The 20,949-nt window shown below is 39.8% G+C and overlaps 1 protein-coding gene across 9 annotated transcripts in view, besides 1 other annotated feature; it reads right to left on the bottom strand.

Moving 5' to 3' along the window:
• NFAT5 (nuclear factor of activated T cells 5) overlaps window positions 1–20,949 on the bottom strand; it is a 138,689-nt gene that overhangs the window by 85,074 nt on the left and 32,666 nt on the right. The window lies entirely within an intron of this gene.
• Window positions 5,979–6,138: an enhancer, noted in NCBI's record as "active region_11043". NCBI's record gives its function as "activates an Ori minimal core promoter by ATAC-STARR-seq in GM12878 lymphoblastoid cells {active_cell/tissue: GM12878}" and the evidence as "EXISTENCE:reporter gene assay evidence [ECO:0000049][PMID:35858748]".

The raw sequence follows: 20,949 nt of genomic DNA, 5'->3' as shown, positions 1-20,949 counted from the left end.
ATATGTATTTTTCTCATTTAACCTCAAAACAATCAATCCTATGAGGTAGGTTTTATCAATAAAGAATGTGATATCTGTATTATAGTAAAAAAAGAAAAACACATGTGATAAGAGAAAGATGATAAAGTTTAGGACAGCGGCTTCCTTTGATGGGAGACAGGAGGAGTAGAAATAAGCTGAGCTACACAATGGGTTCACAGGTGTTCTTTTTACTGAAGTATATAATCAAATAAAATATATACAACAAAATTAGGGCTATACACGGATAGAGCACAGCCTCACAGAGATGCTACAAGGCTTAAATAAGTTGATCTCTTGAAAAGAAGTCTAAGTTCTTATTCTTTCTTAGAATTTTCATCCCTACCTCCCTACCTCACCCTTGTTGACCTAAGAGCTGGCATTTGGTGTTCAACTGCTTTCGGGTCAGAGAGTAAAAATCAAAATAGTCAGAGAGAGCCCATCTACTTTATGACTTTTCTCAAGACTGTCTTATTTACTTTCAAATAGTAAAATAAAGTTGTACAACTAATACTATGGACTTGCATCTATACAGAGGTGGATAATAAAAACGGGGAAAAAAGCTCCGTAAATAAGATGTTTCTGTTTCGTTGTCAAGTAAGCAGCTAAAGAGAAATAAATATCTGTGGTAAAAAAGAATGTTCCTTTGTGTTGGGAATGCTTTAAAAATCTAACAAGAAGTAAACTAATGCTCACAACAGATATTAGTTACTCAAACAATGAATGCTCTCTGATATGAAATGCAAACATTATAATCCTGAAAAATCCATTTCTAAACATTTTAATCTTTTTTTAAATATTAGATTTTACTTTAAAAAAAACCTCTAAATGTGAAGCTACTCTTGGAATCTGAAAGAGTTAGAAAAAACCTTCAGAAAATGGTTTGGGAATGAAATGCCTTACTCTTCCACCTCTCCATTAACTATCTCAATCAGCTGGTAAATTCCAAGGTTATAATTTCACATTAAATATTCTAAAACAAAATGCCTGGCATCTACAATGTGCCAACATCGTTCTGCATTGAAGAGAGACAGCATTCATTTTGTTAAAAACACTTCAAGCTTGACAGTCATCATACTTGGCATCTCTACTGGAAAAAATGTACTGGCTGCAGGTCCACTGGATATTCAGTTTCTAAAAGAGTATGCAGTCCAAGAATAACTGGTAGGTAATGCTCTGTCTTAACAAATTTTTCTCAATTTCTAAGTTTAAGCCAATTTACTAGTCTGCTGCCACATATTTACTTATTCATAGCACTTCTGCCAGGCTGTATTTAATTACTGTTTTCCTAAAACAATCTAGTGTTTTAAAGTAATTTTAAATAATATACAGCAGTATAAATTATATCAATTTGGGGAAGAAGAAAACTAACTTGAGTTCTACAGAGTTTTTTTTTTTTTTTTTGAGATGGAGTTTCGCTGTTGTTGCCCAGGCTGGAGTGCAATGGCACGATCTCAGCTCACCGCAACCTCCACCTCCCCGGTCCAAGCAATTCTCTTGCCTCAGCCTCCCAAATAGCTGGGATTACAGGCATTCGCCACCACGCCCAGCTAATTTTGTATTTTTAGTAGAGACAGGTTTTCTCCATGTGTTGGTCAGGGTGGTCTCGAACTCCCGACCTCAGGTGATCCGCCCACCTTGGCCTCCCAAAGTGCTGGGATTATAGGCATGAGCCACCGTGCCCGGCCTTCCACAGACAATTTAATATAGTATAACATATCTTTTTTCTACTAGGTATTATTTTTCACTCAAAAACTTTAAAATTATGTTCAGCCAGGCAAAGTGGCTCATGCCTGTAATCCAGGCATTTGGGAGGCCAAGTTGGGAGGATCACTTTAGCCCAGGAGTTTTGAGACCAGCCTAGGCAACACAGCAAGACCCTGTCTTTACAAAAAAATACAAAAATTAGCCAGGTGAGGTGGTGCAAGCCTGTAGTTCCAGCTACTCGGGAGGCTGAGGTAGGAGGACTGCTTGAGCCCAGGAGGTCAAGGCTGCAGTGAGCCATGATTGTGCCACTGCGTTCCAGCCTGGGTGACAGAGCAAGGCCCTGTCTCAAAAAAAAAAAAAGAAAAGAAAATTGTTCTCTAAATAACCTCTTAGCATGAAAGACAGAATGGAATATACCAGTCACCTAACTATTCTGATTATATTTTAAATTTCTTTGTTATTTTCTGAAGAAATTTCTTGAGTCTATCCTAGAAGGAACAAAACTCTCTAGTTATCAAGAATCCATACACCACTGAGTAAAACATTTATGGTTTATTTATAATTTTTAGATATCTTACAAGAGTACCTTTTCAATAGAGCTTTAAGAACTTTGAGGCTGGGCACGGTGGCTCACGCCTGTAATCCCAGCACTTTGGGAGGCCGAGGCGGGCGGATCACAAGGTCAGGAGATCGAGACCATCCTGGCTAACACGGTGAAACTCCATCTCTACTAAAAATAGAAAAATTAGCCGGGCGTGATGGTGGGCGCCTGTTGTCCCAGCTACTCGGGAGGCTGAGGCAGGAGAATGGCGTGAACCCGGGAGGCGGAGCTTGCAGTGAGCCGAGATCGCGCCACTTACTCCAGCCTGGGTGACAGAGCCAGACTCCATCTCAAAGAAAAAAAAAAAAAAAAAAGAACTTTGGACTCAGATGGAGTCCAAGAGGAATAAGAGGGCTCAAAGGAGGGTATCAGAAGCCTAGAGGGGAGGGGGAAGGATACCTATAGAGAATAGGGGGAGGCCTGGGAAGGGATTTCAGAGCTTAAGCAGGGTGAGGAGGACATAAATGAGTGGATGAGAGGGGCAAGAGATATTCTAGATGCAGAGTCTGAGCAACATGAAGAAAGTATCTATATAGGACAGCCTAGTGTGTGGTGTCAGAGCCTAAGCAGGGTGAAGAATATATGAATATCTGTGCAGGGGAGGATGGCTCAGGTTGGGATGTTAGTGCCCAAGAGGTGGGATGAGGACAGCATCCACGCAAGAAAGAAGGCTGATGCACAGGGGGTCTGCCTAGGGTGGGAGGTGGGAACCCAAACAGAACGCAAATCTCCATATGGATGGACAGCCTAGCCCAAGGAGTAAAAGCATGAATAGAATGAGAAGGATCTCTGTGGAGTGAGCAGGGAGAGCCCAGGATAAAATGCCAGAGCCAGAGAAGGGTGAGGAGGGTATCCATGCAAGGGGCAACCAACAGAGGGTATCATAACCTAAGTAGTAATGAGGATGTCCACATAGAAGGATTGCCTAAGGTTGGTTATCAGAGGTTACCCGGCAGGTATAAATAGTGTGTTCACTGGGCAAGAGAGGGGGAGCCCAGCACGGGGAGTTACAATCCAAGCAGGGTGAGGAGGGCATGTGAGGCCTTGGAGCCTGAGCTGAATAAGGAGGGCATCTGTGTAGAAGGGTTGCCTACGGTGGGAAAGTAGAAGACTGACTAAAGAGGGCATTTCCGTAGATAGGCAGCCTGGCATGGGGTGTTGGAGTTCAAATGGGGTAGGGAAGACATCTATCGGGGTTGAGGGAGCAGAAGCAAAGGGCAGTTTTAGGTAGGATTCAAAATCCTAGCAGGATGAGCAAGATAGGAGGCTATCTACCTAGTAGGGCTGCCCAAAGTGGGGAGTAAGAAACCAAGTAGACTGGAGGGTATTCACAGGAGAGCAGGAGGACAGCCCCAGGTGTCAAGAGCATCCATGTAGGAGGCAAGCTATGAGAGGCCAAGTTGGGTAATTAGGGTATTAATGTGTCAGAAAGCAGGAGGCAGTAGCAATGGGAGATTGGTTACAACAGGAGATTGATCAAATAAGTAAACATAGTAAGATGAAAGGAAATCAAGTTTCTCAATAAGATGAAAGGAAATCAAGTTTGTCAAACAGTGAGTTACAAACAGAGAGAGAAAAGAAGAAGGAACCCTACGGTATTGCATTGCAACGGGAGGTACTGATGTGAACTCATCAGTCAATATGTACAGATAGAAAAATATAGGTATAAATGTGTATATATACCTGTGTGTGTGTGTACAGACATATAAATATACATATATTCCCTAGCTTCTGTCCTCTGAAAGGTCCTAGGAGAAGCAGCACCCCAAAAGTAACCAGGGCTTTTCAGAGAAATAGTATCAGGGCTGGGACAGGCAAAATACAAGATGAACCTGGAATGTCTTGTTTTGCTAAAGGTAAGAAAGTACTCAAAGAATTACGGGGGCATATCAAAAGGACACAAAAGACAGCATGGGTTGGGTGCGGTGGCTCATGCCTGTAATTCCAGCACTTTGGAAGGCCAAGGCAGGCAGATCACCTGAGGTCACAAGTTCGAGAGCAGCCTGGCCAACATGGCAAAACGTCGTCTCTAGTAAAATACAAAAATTAGCCAGGCATGGTGGCACGTGCCTGTAATCCCAGCTACTTGGGAGGCTGAGGCAGAAGAATCTCTTGAACCCAGGAGGAGGAGGTTGCAGTGAGCCGAGGTCGCGCCACTGCACTCCAGCCTGAGCAACAGTGAGACTCCATCTCAAAAAAAAAAAAAAAAATTTAGCTGGGAGTGGTGGTGGGTGCCTATAGCCCTAGCTGCTCAGGAGGCTGAGGCACAAGAATTGCTTGAACCCAGGAGGAGGAGGCTGCAGTGAGCCAAGATCGTACCACTGTACTCCAGCCTGGGTAACAGAGCAAGATTCTGTCTCAAAAAAAAAAAAAAAAGGAAAAAGAAAACCATAAAAGTCCAGGAAACACCAAGGAATGATTTCAGATTCAAAGAAACTAAAGAGATATGACAACTAAATGGACATATAATTCTAAACTGGATCCTTTTGCTATACAGGAAATTACTGGGACAATTTGCAAAACCCAAATAGGATCTAAGGACAAGGTGAAAAAAATGTATTGATGTTAATTTTTATTTTGATAGCTATATTGTGGTTACATAAGGGAATATTCTTATTTGTTGGAAATACCAAAGTATTGGGAGGCAATGAGGAAACATGTCAGCAACTTATTCTCAAATGATTCAGAAAAAAAGCAATAAATTATTTGCACTATATTCACAACTCTTTTGTAGGTTCAAGATTGTTCCAAAAAGTGCATTCAGGCATACATTTCATTAGGAATTTATTAATTACTACGGATTCAAAAAATTCAGCTATGTAACTGTAGCTTCATATTATAAGATCTCAATTTGCAAAGAAATGAATCTATCAGAGTAAACAAACTTATTTCATGTCTTCATTTTTAGGTATCTGGCAATCAAAAACCAATCTAGGGCCGAGCGTGGTGGCTCGTGCCTGTAATCGCAGCATTTTGGGAGGCAGAGCTGAAGGACTGCTTGATCCCAGGATGTCAAGGCTGTAGTGAGCTGTGATTGTGCCACTACATCCTAGGCTAGGTGACAGAGCAAGACCTTGTCTCAAAAGAAAAAAAAAAAAGAGAGAAAGAGAAGAAAAGAAAGAAAAGAGAGAAAAGACCAATCTACCTTGTTCTCCCTCTCACTTTTGCTACACTTTCTGTTTAAAATCAAACAAAACCAAATATTTTAGTTGAAAAAGGCAACAGAATCTTGGTTACAACACATACCATGAGTCTTCTCTTGGTCATATAATTACTTGTTTGACATCTTATTTGCCACAGTCACAGGGGCTAAGTATTTTTGTCTATGCCAGCTCCTCTTCACTATCACCTTCAACCTGACAAAGCAGTAATTAAACATTCATTCAACATTTATTTAGCACCTGCACTGATCTAGGGACACAATACAAAAGAAAGTCACCCTTATTAAGCAGTTCACAGTCTAGAGATAATAAAATGAGTCAAGTTTAAAATAATGCAGTATGTGCTTTAATAAAGTATGAAGTGTTACACAACTGGAGAAGAGGGAACCTTTAATGTTATCTGTGGAGGATCTGAGAAGGCAGCACAGAGGATGTAACACCAGAAGTCAACCTTGAATATTGAAATGGCTATTTAGCAGACAGACTGGGGAAAAGGAAGGAGAAACTATAAAAGCAAACCTGAACAAAAAGAGTATTTTCATCTCAGGTTATTAGGTAACTCAGTTACTCAGAACACGGAAGTTACAAGCAGTAACATGAGATGAAACTACTAAAGGCAGGGTGAGGCCAGATTATGACAGGGCTTGTGTATCATGCTAAGCAGTAAGGGTTTTATCCCTCAGCACACAGGGAGCCTTTGAGGGTTTTAAGCAAAGAAATGATAAACTCAAACATATATTTGAGGAAGATCATCCTACCAGGAATACAGAGAATAGATTAGGTCCTAGAGATGGCGATGAGTAAGAAGGTTTTTACAATAATAGCCTAAGCAAGAAATAATGAAATCCTGAACCAAGGCAGTGGCAGTGAAATAGTCAATAGGCTACGAATTTAAAGCTGTTTAAATGGATGAACTAAATTGGATCACTGGCTACGGTGGGGAAGGGAGAGGGAAAAAAAGGAGAGTTCCAAGTAGCACATAGAACTCTGGCTTGGGAAAATTGATAAAAAGTGGTGCCATTTCCTGTGATAGAGAATATAGGAGTTAAGAATAAACCTGGAAAGAGAATTCAGTTTTAAATGATGAATTTGGATGCCTATGGGACTTCCAAGTGAATACATAAACAGGAGAGAGGTCTAGCAATTGATGTTACTAAACAAATAGCCTGCTTTACTTTTGTTTTTTATATCAAATCTGTCCTAGAACTACAGTTTTGCCTTTTTTTTTTTTGAGACAGGATTTCGCCCTGTCACCCAGTGACACGATCACAGCTCACTGCAGCCTCAAGCTCCCGGGCCTAAACTGATCCTCCTACCTCAGCCTCCCGAGTAGCTGGGACCACAGGTGTGTGCCACTATGCCTAGCTAGGTTTTTGGTGTGTGTGTGTGTGTGTCTCTGTGTATGTGCTTTATAGAGACAGGGTCTCCTTTTGTTGTCCAGTCTGGTCTCCAATTCTTGGGCTCAAGTGGTCCTCCTGCCTCAATCTCCCAAAGTGCTGGGATTATAGGCATGAACCACTGCACCTGGCCTAGATTAATTTATTTAGAGTTATTGCTTGCTTTTAAAAATACACGTAAGAAATAAAAATTCAACTTGCCCATGATCTCATCAAAGATAACCATTAAAACAATGGTATACTTATGCTTCCTTTCCATACTTTAATGCAAAGTTTTTAAAAGTTGAATAATATACATAAACAATATCAAATTTTCACTTGAATATAACATTAATTTCCTACATGTACCATCTTTTTGACACCCCTCAGGTTGTTACAAATCATCTTTGTATCTATTTCCTACTTCTCCAAATGGGTTGAAAACCCTTCATGGACCAAAACTATGTCATGTCTTCTCTGACTAAGGTTCGGCAGTACGCTACTTACAAGAGACACTCACTGTTTGTTGATGAGGTTATAAAAATATTAAGGAAAGCTACTGGATAATAATTCTAAGTTGTAAAACAAGCTTCAAGAAAACTTCTAATTTTAATATTATTTCAGAAACACTGCTAATAAATAAGAGGTAATAAATGAATATATCAGTGGTGAAGAAACAACATTGTACCTGCTATAAAATGAACGACAGCTCAGTAAATATTCTCATTCATTTATTCATGTACTCATTCACTCAATAAATATTTATGGACTGCCTGATGTACACCAGGCTGGGGATACATCAACAACAAAACAGACAAAAATATGTCTTTATGGACCTTCCATTCTAATGGGCTTAAATTACAGTGACTGCTTGCTTGTCTGGTGCTATAGTCTGAGTGTTAGTGTCCTGCCAAAATTCATGTTGGAACCTAACATCCAATGTAATAGTGTTAAGAGGTGGGGCCTTTTAGGAAGTAAGTCATGAGGGCTCTGCCCTCCCAAAATGGAATGAGTGCCCTTATAAAAGAGATTGAAGGACACTGCCTTGGCCCTTTCACCACATGGGTACACAATAAGAAAGCATCATCTTCAAAGCAGAGAGCAAACCCTCAGCAGACATATAATCTGTTGGTGCCTTTATCCTGGACTCCCCAGACTCCATACTGCAGACTATCAGCAATACATTTCTATTGTTTATAAATTACCTTGCCTAAGGCATTTTGTTATAGCTGACAAACAGACTAAGACATCTGCTAAAGAGAAAAGGAGACTCCAGTTTCCTCCAATTTTCTACCCTTACTAAACTCACATTTAATTGTTACCAGTAAAATAAGCTCATTTCTGGAATGTAAGCAATGAAAAATGTCAACATACATTCATTTTAAAATTTAGAACACATACTTAAAACAGAATTTTGCTGAGTGCTTATAAAACCAATACTGAATAGAGATCTGTTCCATGGCTATTAACAGCTAACCATATTATATAACCATATATTTAATAATCATTCCTTTCTAAACTAATCATGTCCTTGTAAACATACATAATAATCTATCAATGAAAAGAAACAAGCAGAATTACAATTTATATTATTTTACATATATTATTTTGTTGTTGATCTTGAAAGACAGTCTAATATTAAATTCACAAGATCAACAGCATTTTCAAAAATAAGAAAAAACTAATTTTGTCACCATTTGTTCATTTCGTGTGCATAGGTACACACACAGTAAATCACATGTTCACAGAAACCCGAGTCTGCTCCCAAAAAGCTTTCAGTCCAGTGAGGTTGACTGAAAGCACATAAATAGCCAATCAAAACTGTATCAAGACACCAGAGCTATGAGGGAAAAAAGGTAGTAGGAGAGAAGAAATATATAGAGGGCCATGCAAGAATGGTATGAATGTAATGAATGTAGTTTTAAGGGATTAATCTAATCTAAATTAATCTAAAATTCACATTAAAAGCAAGAATTTTAGAGGTAGAAGTGGTGAAAGTATTTGGTGTAACCCTCAGTTTTTACGGAGAAGAAATTATGTTCCAATTAGGTTACAACTTCCTTTGTAGAGCCAAGACTAGCTAAAGCTGGGTCCCAGGCAGGAGAATAGCTGGCTGAAAGATAAATTCTTTCCCCAGCATTCCTGTCTATGCAATTAGAGTAACACTGAGGTTAGGAATGCCATCTATTTTACTTACTATATTATTATGCCTGGCACATAATGGGCATTTCAATAATGTGCTTAATAAATAAACAAATGAATGAATAAGCAAATCATCTACCTTAAGTGATTCTACCCAAACAATTCTAAAACATAAATTCCTGTTTTTATACCATAATCTTAGAGATGAAAAACAAAAATATTAGACAAACAAAAACCAAAAAAAACCCATCTTGTTTTCCTTTCTGTCATTACCAGAATATCCTACTACCTGAACTAAAAATGTTATCTTTCTATGTTATATTTAATCCAAATACCCTGTCCCCTCACGTCCTATCTTCCAACTTCCACCCCATTATCACCTAAATCACCAATTTTCTGATTAACAAAAATCACTTTTCATATCTCAGGGTCTTCACTTTCAGTTATTTTTAAAGCCTTAAAAAGTTAGTTTTCTTTTTTTCTATTTATACGCACAATTTTTTTCCCTTCTTTGACCCAACACTGAAGAACTCAACAAGACACTCGCTCTATCTGTCTCTCTCTCTCTCTCTCTTCTTGTCTCACTCTGTTGTCCAGATTGGAGTGCGGTGGCACAATCATTGCTCATTGCAGCCTCAACCTCCCAGGCTCAAGTGATCCTCACACTTCAATGTCCCAAGTATGCTGGGCCTACAGGCTCATGCCACCATGTCCAGCTAATATTTTCTTTTTTCTTTTTTTTTTTTTTTTTTTTTTCAGTAGAGACAGGGTCTCACCATGTTGTCCAGGCTGGTCTTGAATTCCTGGGCTCAAGCAATTCTACCACCTTGGCCTCTCGAAGTGCCGGTATTACAGGTGTGAGCTACTGCACCTGGTCCTACTTTGTCTTTTCTATTCTACACAAAGATGATCACCCACAAGCAAGTATTCAGACCTCATACTTTGAGATATAAGCTGATGTTTACAGAGATCAAAAATAAGTGTCTACAATGAGTGGCAATGAACAAATGATCAAATTCATTACTTCTGCCTCTTAATTCAATTTTTTCCATTTTAACTTTGTTTCCCTTACTTTCCGTACAACTGCAGAATGCCTCTAACTTAAGACTGGTTTTCAACAGGGAATACCAGAATTTCATGTAGACATATGTATATTTTTTTTAACCTGAATGAAGATGCCTGGGATTTCATCACAGACCGACTACTGAATAGGGGTTTACAGGGAATAAGATCACAGAATGTATATGTGTATAAAGCTTCACAAGTGATTCTGGCTAACAGCCATTACTCTGAAGCATGAAATGCAGCTGGAATGAAAATGGATTGGCTTGTATTTACTACCTCTTTAAGCATTGCTAGTTAATTCATTTTTTTCTGAAGAGTCTAGGAAAGAACAGCAACCAAAGACCTGAACCACCTTCTTCTGCAGATTACCTAAATACTTTTTTTTTTTTTGAGGCGGAGTCTCACTCTGTTGCCCAGGCTGGAGTGCAGTGGCATGATCTTAGCTCACTGCAAGCTCTGCCTCCTGGGTTCACACTATTCTCCTGCCTCAGCCTCCCGAGTAGCTGCGACTACAGATGCCTGCCACCACGCCTGGCTAATTTTTTGTATTTTTAGTACAGACGGGTTTTCACCGTGTTAGCCAGGATGGTCTCGATCTCCTGACCTCGTGATCCGCCCGCCTTGGCCTCCTAAAGTGCTGGAATTACAGGCGTGAGCCACCACACCTGGCCAGATTACCTAAATTCTTCAACCTAGAGGAAAAAACAATTATATTTACATAACAAAAAATTAGCCGGGCGTGGTGGCAGGCACCTGTAGTCCCAGCTACTTGGGAGGCTGAGGCAGGAGAATGGCGTGAACCCAGGAGGCAGAGCTTGCAGTGAGCAGAAATTGTGCCATTGCACTGTACCACAGCCTGACTAAAATGACAACTACTATTTCACATGGTGGTAGATAATTTTCAATATACTTATTTTTAGTAGAGACAGGATTTCACCGTGTTAGCCAGGATGGACTCGATCTCCTGACCTCGTGATCCGCCCGCCTCGGCCTCCCAAAGTGCTGGGATTACAGGCGTGAGCCACCGCGCCTGGCCACCCAGCAGTCTTCTTAAGCTTCTTAAGTTGAAGTGGTAGAGCTAGGAGTCTGGGGAAGCCCAGATGGCCGGGGTTCTCAATGCAGAGTACTGGAAAGGAGAGACACACTCAGAGAGAACGCTGGAGATCTATAGAGGATCTCCTTAGAGTATCTAGTTGAGTAGTGATCATTGTATGTATGCATGTGGGGAACTACTCAAGGGATTCTCCTGCCTCAGCCTCTCTCGAGGAGTTGAGATTACAGGCACGCCACAACACCCGGCTAATTTTTTATATTTTTGGTAGAGACCGGGGTTTTGCCATCTTGGCCAGCCTGGTCTCGAACTCCTGACCTGAAGTGATCTGCCCACTTTGGCCTCCCAAAGTGCTGGGATTACAGGCGTGAGCCACCGTGACCGGCCAATAAAGTAGTTTTTCTAGTACACTGTTACATGATTATACTACCATAAGCATTTAGTTTTCTAATTTCTTTTTAAGCACCATGGCCCTTTTGAAATTATATCAAATGCAGAAGTACCTTTTCAGAAATCATAGTTAACAGCAGTTTGACTACTACTGGTGTGAGGAAAACAAACACATGAAAGGGAGTAATGAAAAGAGAGAGTGGAAAATAGAAAAAGTATGTCACAGAATCAAGTCAGGAAATTGAAAGTACCTTAGAAAAGAAATTGAGAATCTCTTCCACTGACATGAGAGAAAAAGAAAATAGAAAATGAGAAGACCAAAATAAATTTTTCAGAAGAAGTCACAAGTTGAGAAGCTTTAGTGAGATGGATTCAAATGTGCTCTAGAAGAGAATTCAGTTGTTTCCATTTGCCAGTGGCTATGCTCTAGAAGCAGATGCTTAAGAGGTATGTAAGAAATCCTTCTACACCTATTTATCTTTAAAGGGCCAATTACAAAATATGGAAGAATTAAGGGGTTAAGACTCAGGGGATAAAGGTTCTAGTATTAGAGGTTGTCAATATCATTGTTAAAAGCACATAAATTTTCATTTGGCTTGATCAGAAACTCACAATCATGACTATACGTAACAGATAATTAGGACGCATTTCAAGTATTTATTGTAATCTCTCTTTTTTTGCATTAAGGGGGATAAAGTAAAAAGAAGAAAGTCACAAGATTCCTTGGAAAAGTCTACAACCATTATACAAAGCATCTGATCCTTGTGTCAGTATACCAATATTGTTTATAATAAATAAGAGGTAGGCAGCATGTCATAATGAAAGAACAAAGGTAGTCAGAACTGAGGTTTCATCATAAATGTATCACTTATTTTTTGTGTGACCTTGGACAAGTTACTTATCACAGCAAGCCTTGGCTGTCTCATTTATAATACAGTGGTAATACCTATCTACCTTGTAGAGTTGTAAGCACTAGCAATAATGTGTAGAACACACCTAGAACTATTATTAATATATTAATTGGAGCTACTAACATAAATAAAAACTATAATTTCTGCCCTCAAAAGGGTTAGCAATGAGGAGGTGTTACTGAGATATTCCACGGACATTATTTCTTTTATTCCAAAGGCAATCTGATGAATACCTCATGCCCATTTCAAGGTGACTCTGATTTCACTTCACAATACACAGCTTTCCTTTTGTTGTTGTTGTTGTTCTGAGACAGTCTCCCTCTATCACCCAAGCTGGAGTGCAATGGCGCCATCTCAGCTCACTGCAACCTCTGCCTCCCCAGTTCAAGCAATTCTCATGCCTCAGCCTCCTGAGTAACTGGAATTACAGGCGTACCACCACGCCCAGCTAATTTTGTGTATTTTTAGTGGAGATGACGTTTCATTATGTTGGCCAGGCTGGTTTTGAACTCCTAGCATCAGGCGACCCACCTGCCTCGGCCTCCCAAAGTGCTGGGATTACACCCGTGAGCCACCATACCCAGCCACAGTTTTCCTTTCTACAGGTCTTGTACTTCCTATAGTAAGTACTTGGACTGCAGAAGTGTTCTGTTTCGCCTGCACAGTTTAAAAAAACATTTAAAATTAATTGCCAACATTTAAAAATCAGATTTTACATAAAAATCTCAGACCTTTGGCTTCTCTTGAATCACAGGATCCAGCAATACTAAATCCACAAGGAAAACTGGAGCTGCCTCCTTTAGTGTACTCTCAAGTTACCTAAAGTACCGTTCAGCCAATTTCTTTAATTGATATTATGCTGTCTGTGCCCTATAGGCACTTGAGTTCTTCAGTCTCTACACTAGGGTTTGCAAGATATGGAAGGGGAAGATGGGAGGATGGAAAATGAGTCTTTCCTGAAGAAACCTTGCAAGAGGTTAAAGACGAGAACAGTGAGTGGTCCCAACTTTCTTGATCATATAGCCCTTTCCAGAGGCAAATTTAATGAGAAAGAACTGCCTACAATAGCCAAGGGCTGGTAAGTACCTATCTTCCAGAGGGTAAAAGGATACAGTACCAAAACATTCCTATTAAAAGAAAAAAGGGGGCCGGGCGCGGTGGCTCATGCCTGTAATCCCAGCACTTTGGGAGGCCGAGGCGGGTGGATCATGAGGTCAGGAGATCGAGACCATCCTGGCTAACAAGGTGAAACCCCGTCTCTACTAAAAATACAAAAAATTAGCCAGGTGCAGTGGCGGGCGCCTGTAGTCCCAGCTACTTGGGAGGCTGAGGCAGGAGAATGGCGTGAACCCGGGAAGCGGAGCTTGCAGTGAGCCGAGATTGCGCCACTGCAGTCCGCAGTCCTGCCTGGGCGACAGAACGAGACTCCGTCTCAAAAAAAAAAAAGAAAAAAGGGAACAGACTTTCACAGAACTTAAAAGACTCTTAAAGAGTTTAGTCTATTTCTTTACAGAAATAAAAACTAGGGCACAGAAACTGAGGATTTCTCCAAAATCAGATAGTTGATAGCAAAATCAGAATTAGAAAGAAGTTTCTCAAAAACCAAAAGTTCAATTTAACAAACATTTGCCCAGCGCCAAGCCATGCTCCCTGTAAGATGCTATGATACAAATGTATACAGTAGTACTCTTTACTGTATACTACTTTTCTATTTTCTTTTTGAGACACTGTCGCTCTGTTGCCCTGGCTAGGGTGCAGTGGTACAATCTTGGCTCACTGCAACCTCCGCCTCCTGGGTTCAAGCGATTCTCCTACCTCAGCCTCCCAAGTAGCTAGAATTACAGGCGCCCACCACCATGCCTGGCTAATTTTTGTATTTTTAGTAGAGATGGGGTTTCACCATGTTGGCCAGGCAGATCTCGAACTCCTGAACTCAAGTGATCCACCTGCCTTGGCCTCCCAAAGTGCTGGGATTACAGGCGTGAGCCACCACACCCGGCCTCCACTTTCTTTTTTAATTAATATTTTTATAGAATTTTTAAACATCCAATAAAGGCCATTTTCCTTTAAAAAAGAAAACTTCTTATACTTAAAAGAATTAAAAATTGGTAGTCAAACAAATACATGTACACATATGCTATTATAGGATGTGAACAGCAACACTATTCACAATGGCCAGAAGGTGGAAATAACCTGAATGTCCATCAGTGGATGAATAGGTAACACAAATTGTGGTATCCATAGAATGGAACAGTATTCCCCCACAAGAATAAATGAAGTACATGCTACAAGGTGGATAAACCTCAAAAATATTATACTGAGGGAAAGAAGCCAAACATAAGAGGTCACATGTAAATCCAGAATAGGCAAATCCATAGCAATAGAACACAGATTGGTGGATGCCATAAGTTGGGCTCATGGCGGGCAGGGGAGATTGAAGATGGACACAGGATTTTCCTTCTGGGAATGATAAAAATGGCTTTGAACCAGACAGATAGATAGAGGTAGTGGTTGCACAACAGGGTTTTCTTTAAAATGATTGATTTATTGTGCAGTTCACCGCAATAAAAAATTTTTAAAAAAGAACTCCTACTCATGGACACAAAGAGAGGAACAGACACTGGGGCCTACTTGGAGGTCAAGGGTAGGAGGGAGAGGGTCAGGAAAAAATAACTATTGAATACTAGGTCTAGTACCTTGGTGATGAAATAATCTATCTGTACAACAAACCTCAAATCCGAGTTTACCTATATAAAAATTCCTTATTTGACTACCAGGTGGAATATGCCACCTAATTCAATGAGATCACTCTGCCCATTATAAAAGAAAATTCAATTGAGCACCTACAAGGTACCAAGAGCAGTGCTAGATCCTTTAAATATACATTATTTCAGCAAATCTCACCCAACCAAGAGAGAAATTTATCACAGTAGGAAGTACGGAGTGTGTGTGTGCACGTTGTCCTGGTACCAAATTGCCTCCATTTAAATCCCAGCTCTGCTGCTTGCTTCTATGTGCCCCTGGACAAGTTACTTTTAGTCTGTTTTCCTCTCTGTAAAATAGGAGTAATGATACTATCTAGACTTTATATGGTTGTTCTGAGGATTAAATGCAATAATCCAAGAATCCACTGACCTAGGCTATTAGAAAGAATTAAAACAAATATTAGCTACTAAAATTAATTATATAATTAAGTATAATATAGCTAAAAATTAATGTTGTTGGAAATTTTTAACTGTTAAGTCTCTCCACCATCAAAAGCTGCTGCATGTGATAATACTGGCAAGGAAATTGTTCAAATCTCAAGTTTTTCTATTTAGTATATCTACAAAGGAAATGATAATCCTAGAATTATACACACATCACAGAATCAGACCTTAATACAGAAATATGTTCTGTGTTTGTTTTGAGATAGGGTCTGACTTGTCACCCAGGCTAGAGTGCAGTGGTGTAATCTCAGCTCACTGCAACCTCTGCCTCCCAGGCTCAAGCCATCCTCCCACCTCAGCCTCCTGAGTAGCTGGGATCATAGGTACACATCACCATGCCCGGCTAATTTTTGTATTTTTTTTAGAGATGAGGTCTTACTTTATTGCCCAGGCTGGTCTCAAACTCTTGAGTTTAAGTGATCTGCCCACCTCCCAAAGTGCTGGGATTACAGGCATGAGCCACCGTGCCTGGCTGATATGTTCTATTTTAACTCCAACAATGCATCATATAAATGAAAAACTTGAAGAAGATTTAGAGGGCTGCCATAAATATAAACACTGCAAATTAAAATCCATGAGAAAAAATTAAGATAATCATAAAAGTTTCAGTTATAATGTTCTACTACATGAAGATTCCTATTTTAATATTTGCACACTTTAGGTTATAAAAGTGATAGACAAAAAGGATGTATAAAGGATTTAAGGGAGATATAAAGGTGATATATCATAAAAATTCAGAAATTTTTTAAAAGTGTAAGACGGAAAATAAAAAGTCACTTCAAATCCCAAGTCCCACAGATCACCATTCTAACATTTTAGTCTATTTTCTATAGGCCTGTTTTTTTAAAAAATAAAACTAGGATCATAATTTGATATGTTTCTTTAAAAAATGTAACATACAATCATGAATATTTTCTATCATTAAATATTCTTTGAATACATGTAACATGATTTATAATCATACATATTTAATACATAAACATGATTTATAATAGGAACATAGGATTTCATTTATGAAGGTTAAAAAAAAGATAACCAAGGCCAGGAGCAGTGGTGCATGCCTGTAATCCCAGCACTTTGTGAGGCTGAGGTGGGTGGATTGCTTGAGCTCAGGAGTTCGAGACTAACCTGGGCAATGTGGCAAAACCTTATCTCTACCAAAAAAAAAAACAAAAAAATTAGCTGAGCATGGTGTTGCACGCCTGTAGTCCCAACTACTTGGGAGGCTGAAGTAGGAGGATTGCTTGAGCCCAGAAGGTTGAGGCTGCAGTGAGCCAAGATTGTGCCACTGCACTCCAGCCTAGGCTGGAAAATCTTTTCTTATAGATTTTGAGAGTGAGAGTCTGTCTCAAAAAAAAAAAAAAAGAAAGAAAGAAAGAAAAAGTCTGGGCACGGTGGCTCATACCTGTAATCCCAGCACTTTGGGAGGCTGAGGTGGCGGATCACCTGAGGTCAGGAGTTCAAGACCAGCCTGAGCAATATGGAGAAACCTCATTTCTACTAAAAATACAAAAAATTAGCCAGGCGTGGTGGCACATGCCTGTAATCGCAGCTACTAGGGAGGCTGAGGCAGGAGAATCATTTGAACCCAGGAGGCAGTTGCAGTGAGCCGAGATCGCACCCTTGCACTCCAGCCTGGGCAACAAGAGTGAAACTCCATTTCAAAAAAAAAAAAAAAAGATAATAACCAAGATTTATCTACTTTCCCTTAATCTAGAAAAGGAAAATAACATTAAACTGTACCACAAAGGATTTTAATTAGCTAGAAAATTTTTAAATAATGATTATTTCATCTCAGTTATAGAGTTCTCCCAATGAAAAAAAAAGCCTTATGCTTTCAACGTTCTTTATTTAATAGACTGGAAAACTGAAGTTTAAAGCTATACAACTAAATGAAGAAGCAGAGCAAAGATGTGAATCCAAATCTGTTCTGACTTCAAAGCCTATGCACTTAACCTCAACACTGTAGATTACAAGATGGTTTGGGGGTGGTCTTATCTAATAATATGCAGGTAGCCTTATTCATTTGGATCCATTCTCAAGAGAAAGCTAAAAGAATGCAAGTCTGAAGGATTCACCTTGAAACATGACAGCAGAAGAAATTTAGAAATAAAAGACAAATTTAAGTACTTAGAACAGTACTCATACCAGTACAGGGGGAAATCATTTGTACTATGTTCATTACAATGACTTATAACAGTTAAAAAATAAAATGAAATAATAGTCCATCACCAAAGGATTGGCTAATTAACTAAATTTTGTTATTTAAACCACATTGATTGGCATGGTAGCTCATACTTGTAATCCTAGAACTTTGAGAGGCCAAGGCAGGAGGATCACTTGAACTCAGGAGTTTGAAACTGGCCTTGGCAACATAGCGAGATCCTGTCTCTACAAAAAAATTTTTAAAAAATATTAGCCGAGCATGGTGGTGCACACCTATAGTCCTAGCCACTTGAAAGGCCTAGGCTGGAGAATCACTTGAGCCCAGGAGGTCGAGGCTACAGTGAGCCGTGATTGCGCCACTGCACTCCAGCCTGGGCAACAGAGAGAGACTCTGTCTCAAAAATAAATAAATAAATTACCACGTAATACTTTGCAGCTATCACAAATTGTATCTATATTTAATAACATCAGTAGGCAAATAAAACAGATGTATAATCCCTCTTATGCAGAAATGTATAAATAAGTAGATATGTATACATATATAGAGACGCCTGAAAGAATAAGCACCAACATATTAACAGTGGTCATATCTAGATATGGCAGGACTGCATGTGATTTGTTCTTGTTTTGTCGTTTTCCATATTTAAAAAAAAATGTTTAAGTGCTTAAGGGTGTGTGTGTATGTGTGTGTGCGTAAATTCTAATGGACTAAACATAAGGCAGCAATAGCAGAGAAAAGTACAAAATTAAAAGAGAAAAGACCAATGGGGGCCATTTCAAGGAAAAGACGAAGCCTGAGCTTGTGTCTTGAAGAATTCCTTTACCCCATCCCCATTATTTTTTGATCATATTCATCCTGTTAATCATACCCAATCCTGAATGATCCTAAGCACTCATCTTCAACATTCCTGAACCACAGCTTCTAAGTTTTGATAGAGAAAAATCAAAATTGTGGACCAGTACCACTATGAATTCAAGATCTTCCTCAAAGTAGCTCAGGAGCCTTTTTTTTTTTTTTTTTTTCAAAGTATTCCTTATCAGCTTTACTCCCCAGTTCCTCATGATGATTCTCTTAAGGCTACTATCCTGTATCTATCATTCTTGGCAAATGACTGTTTATTTCTCCACAGCAAATGTATAGGACATAAATTTCCCATACTTCCTTTCCCAGGTAAAAATTATCCTTACCTCTTTGGGCTCAAGAAAAGAAGCAACCATGTGCACTAGATCCCTTTTTCTTCACTGCTCCTCCAAAACTTTCCTCTATTAATAATTCCTGTCCTTTCAACTCCCTCATTCCACAAGATTCCTATTCTTATATATGCCTTTCTAGTTTCCACTCTCTCCTTCCCCTCACAACCATCCTTACTTAGTACTACAGTTGTCTTCCTAGCTGCCTCCACTTCCTCTATTCACATTTATTACTCAACCAACTACTACTTGGCTTCTGTTCCAACCACTCCCCATTCAAATTGCTTGGTTATCAATAAACTCCTAATTGATTTATTTCCAATTTCTGACACAATTGAATACTCCTGCTTTCAGGAATTCCTGTTTATTTTCTTCCTTTGTTGCCTTCTCTTTAGTCTACTCCTCTCTTCATGTCCCTGAAATATCTTGTTTTTTTTTTTTTCCCAGAGAAATGAATCCTGTCTTTTTCTTTCTCACTTTTCTAATCGAGAATTCCACCACTTCTTAACAACCTCCAATACTACAATCCTGATCTAATCATCTCACCTGAACTACTTCAATTACCTCCTAATTGATTTTCTCTTTTACTCTTACACTTTATTATCTACACTGTAGCCAGAATAATTCATTAAAAACCTAATTCAGATGACATCACTCCTCAGCACCCATCTCAGCATAAAACCCAAAGTCCTTACATGATCTAGCACCTTAATATCTCTCTCCCTTTCTCTCCTACAATTCTCCTGCTTTTCCACTCTGCTCCAGGTATACTGCCTTTATTGCTACTTCTTGAACATGCCAAGCACTTTCACAGCCTTGATGTCTTTGTACTTGCCTTTCCTCCACCTGGAAAACTCCACATTTATCTCCATTGCTTACTCCTTCGATTCCTTTAGATGTCTGTTCAAATGAGGCTCAAAAATCACTATGATCATGCTCTACAAAATAGTGCCCCCACCATTTTCTTATCCCTCCTAACCCTGCTTTATTTTTTTCACTCCCAACATTATTTTATTCTTTTTGAGACTGACTCTCGCTCTGTCACCCAGGCTGGAGTGCAGTGGCACAATCTTGGCTCACTGCAACATTCGCCTCCTGGGTTCAAGCAATTCTCCTGCCTCCCGAGCAGCTGGGATTACAGGCACGCGCCACCATGCCCAGCTAATTATTGTATTTTTAGGAGAGACAGGGTTTCACCATATTGGCCAGGCTGGTCTCAAACTCCTGACCTCAGGTGATCCTCCCTCCTCAGCCTCCCGAAGTGCTGGGATTGCAGGTGTGAGCCACTGAGCCTGGCCAACTCCCAACATTTTTTGAGATATAATTCACACAACATAAAGTTCCACCCTTTTAAAGTGCATGATTCAGTGTTTTTAGTATAGGCCCAAAGTTATGTAGTCATTACTACTACCTAATTCCAGAACATTTTCATCACCTCAAAAAAGAAAAGCCATCCCCATTAGCAGTCATTCTCCAACCTCCATTCCTTGAATCCCTGGCAACCACTAATTTACTTTCTGTTTCTATGGACTTGTCAATCCCATACCCTGACTTTTTTTTTTTTTTTTTTTTGAGACAGAGTCTCACTCTGTCGCCCAGAGCCCAGACTGGAGTACAGTGGCGCCATTTCAGCTCACTGCAACCTCCACCTCCCAGGTTCAAGTGATTTTCCTGCCTCACCCTCCTGAGTAGCTGGAATTACAGGCACGCACCATCGCGCCCGGCTAATTTTTGTATTTTTAGTTTCATCATGTTGGCCAGGCTGATCTCGAAATCCTGACTTCAGGTGACCCACCCACCTCAGCCTCCCAAAGTGCTGGGATTACAGGCGTGAGCCATCGTGCCCGGCCTACGCTGACATTTTTATAATCATTTCTTTAATGTCTGTTTCCAACCACCAGAATATGAACTGGTGAGGAAAAGGACTTTATTTTCTTTACTTTTTGTAGCCCCAGCATATA

Source organism: Homo sapiens, chromosome 16, assembly GCF_000001405.40.
Source record: "Homo sapiens chromosome 16, GRCh38.p14 Primary Assembly".
NCBI classification, from domain to species: Eukaryota; Metazoa; Chordata; class Mammalia; order Primates; family Hominidae; genus Homo; species Homo sapiens.
The sequence above is the reverse complement of the archived record's forward strand: the minus strand, read 5'-3'. Positions and strand labels throughout refer to the sequence as shown.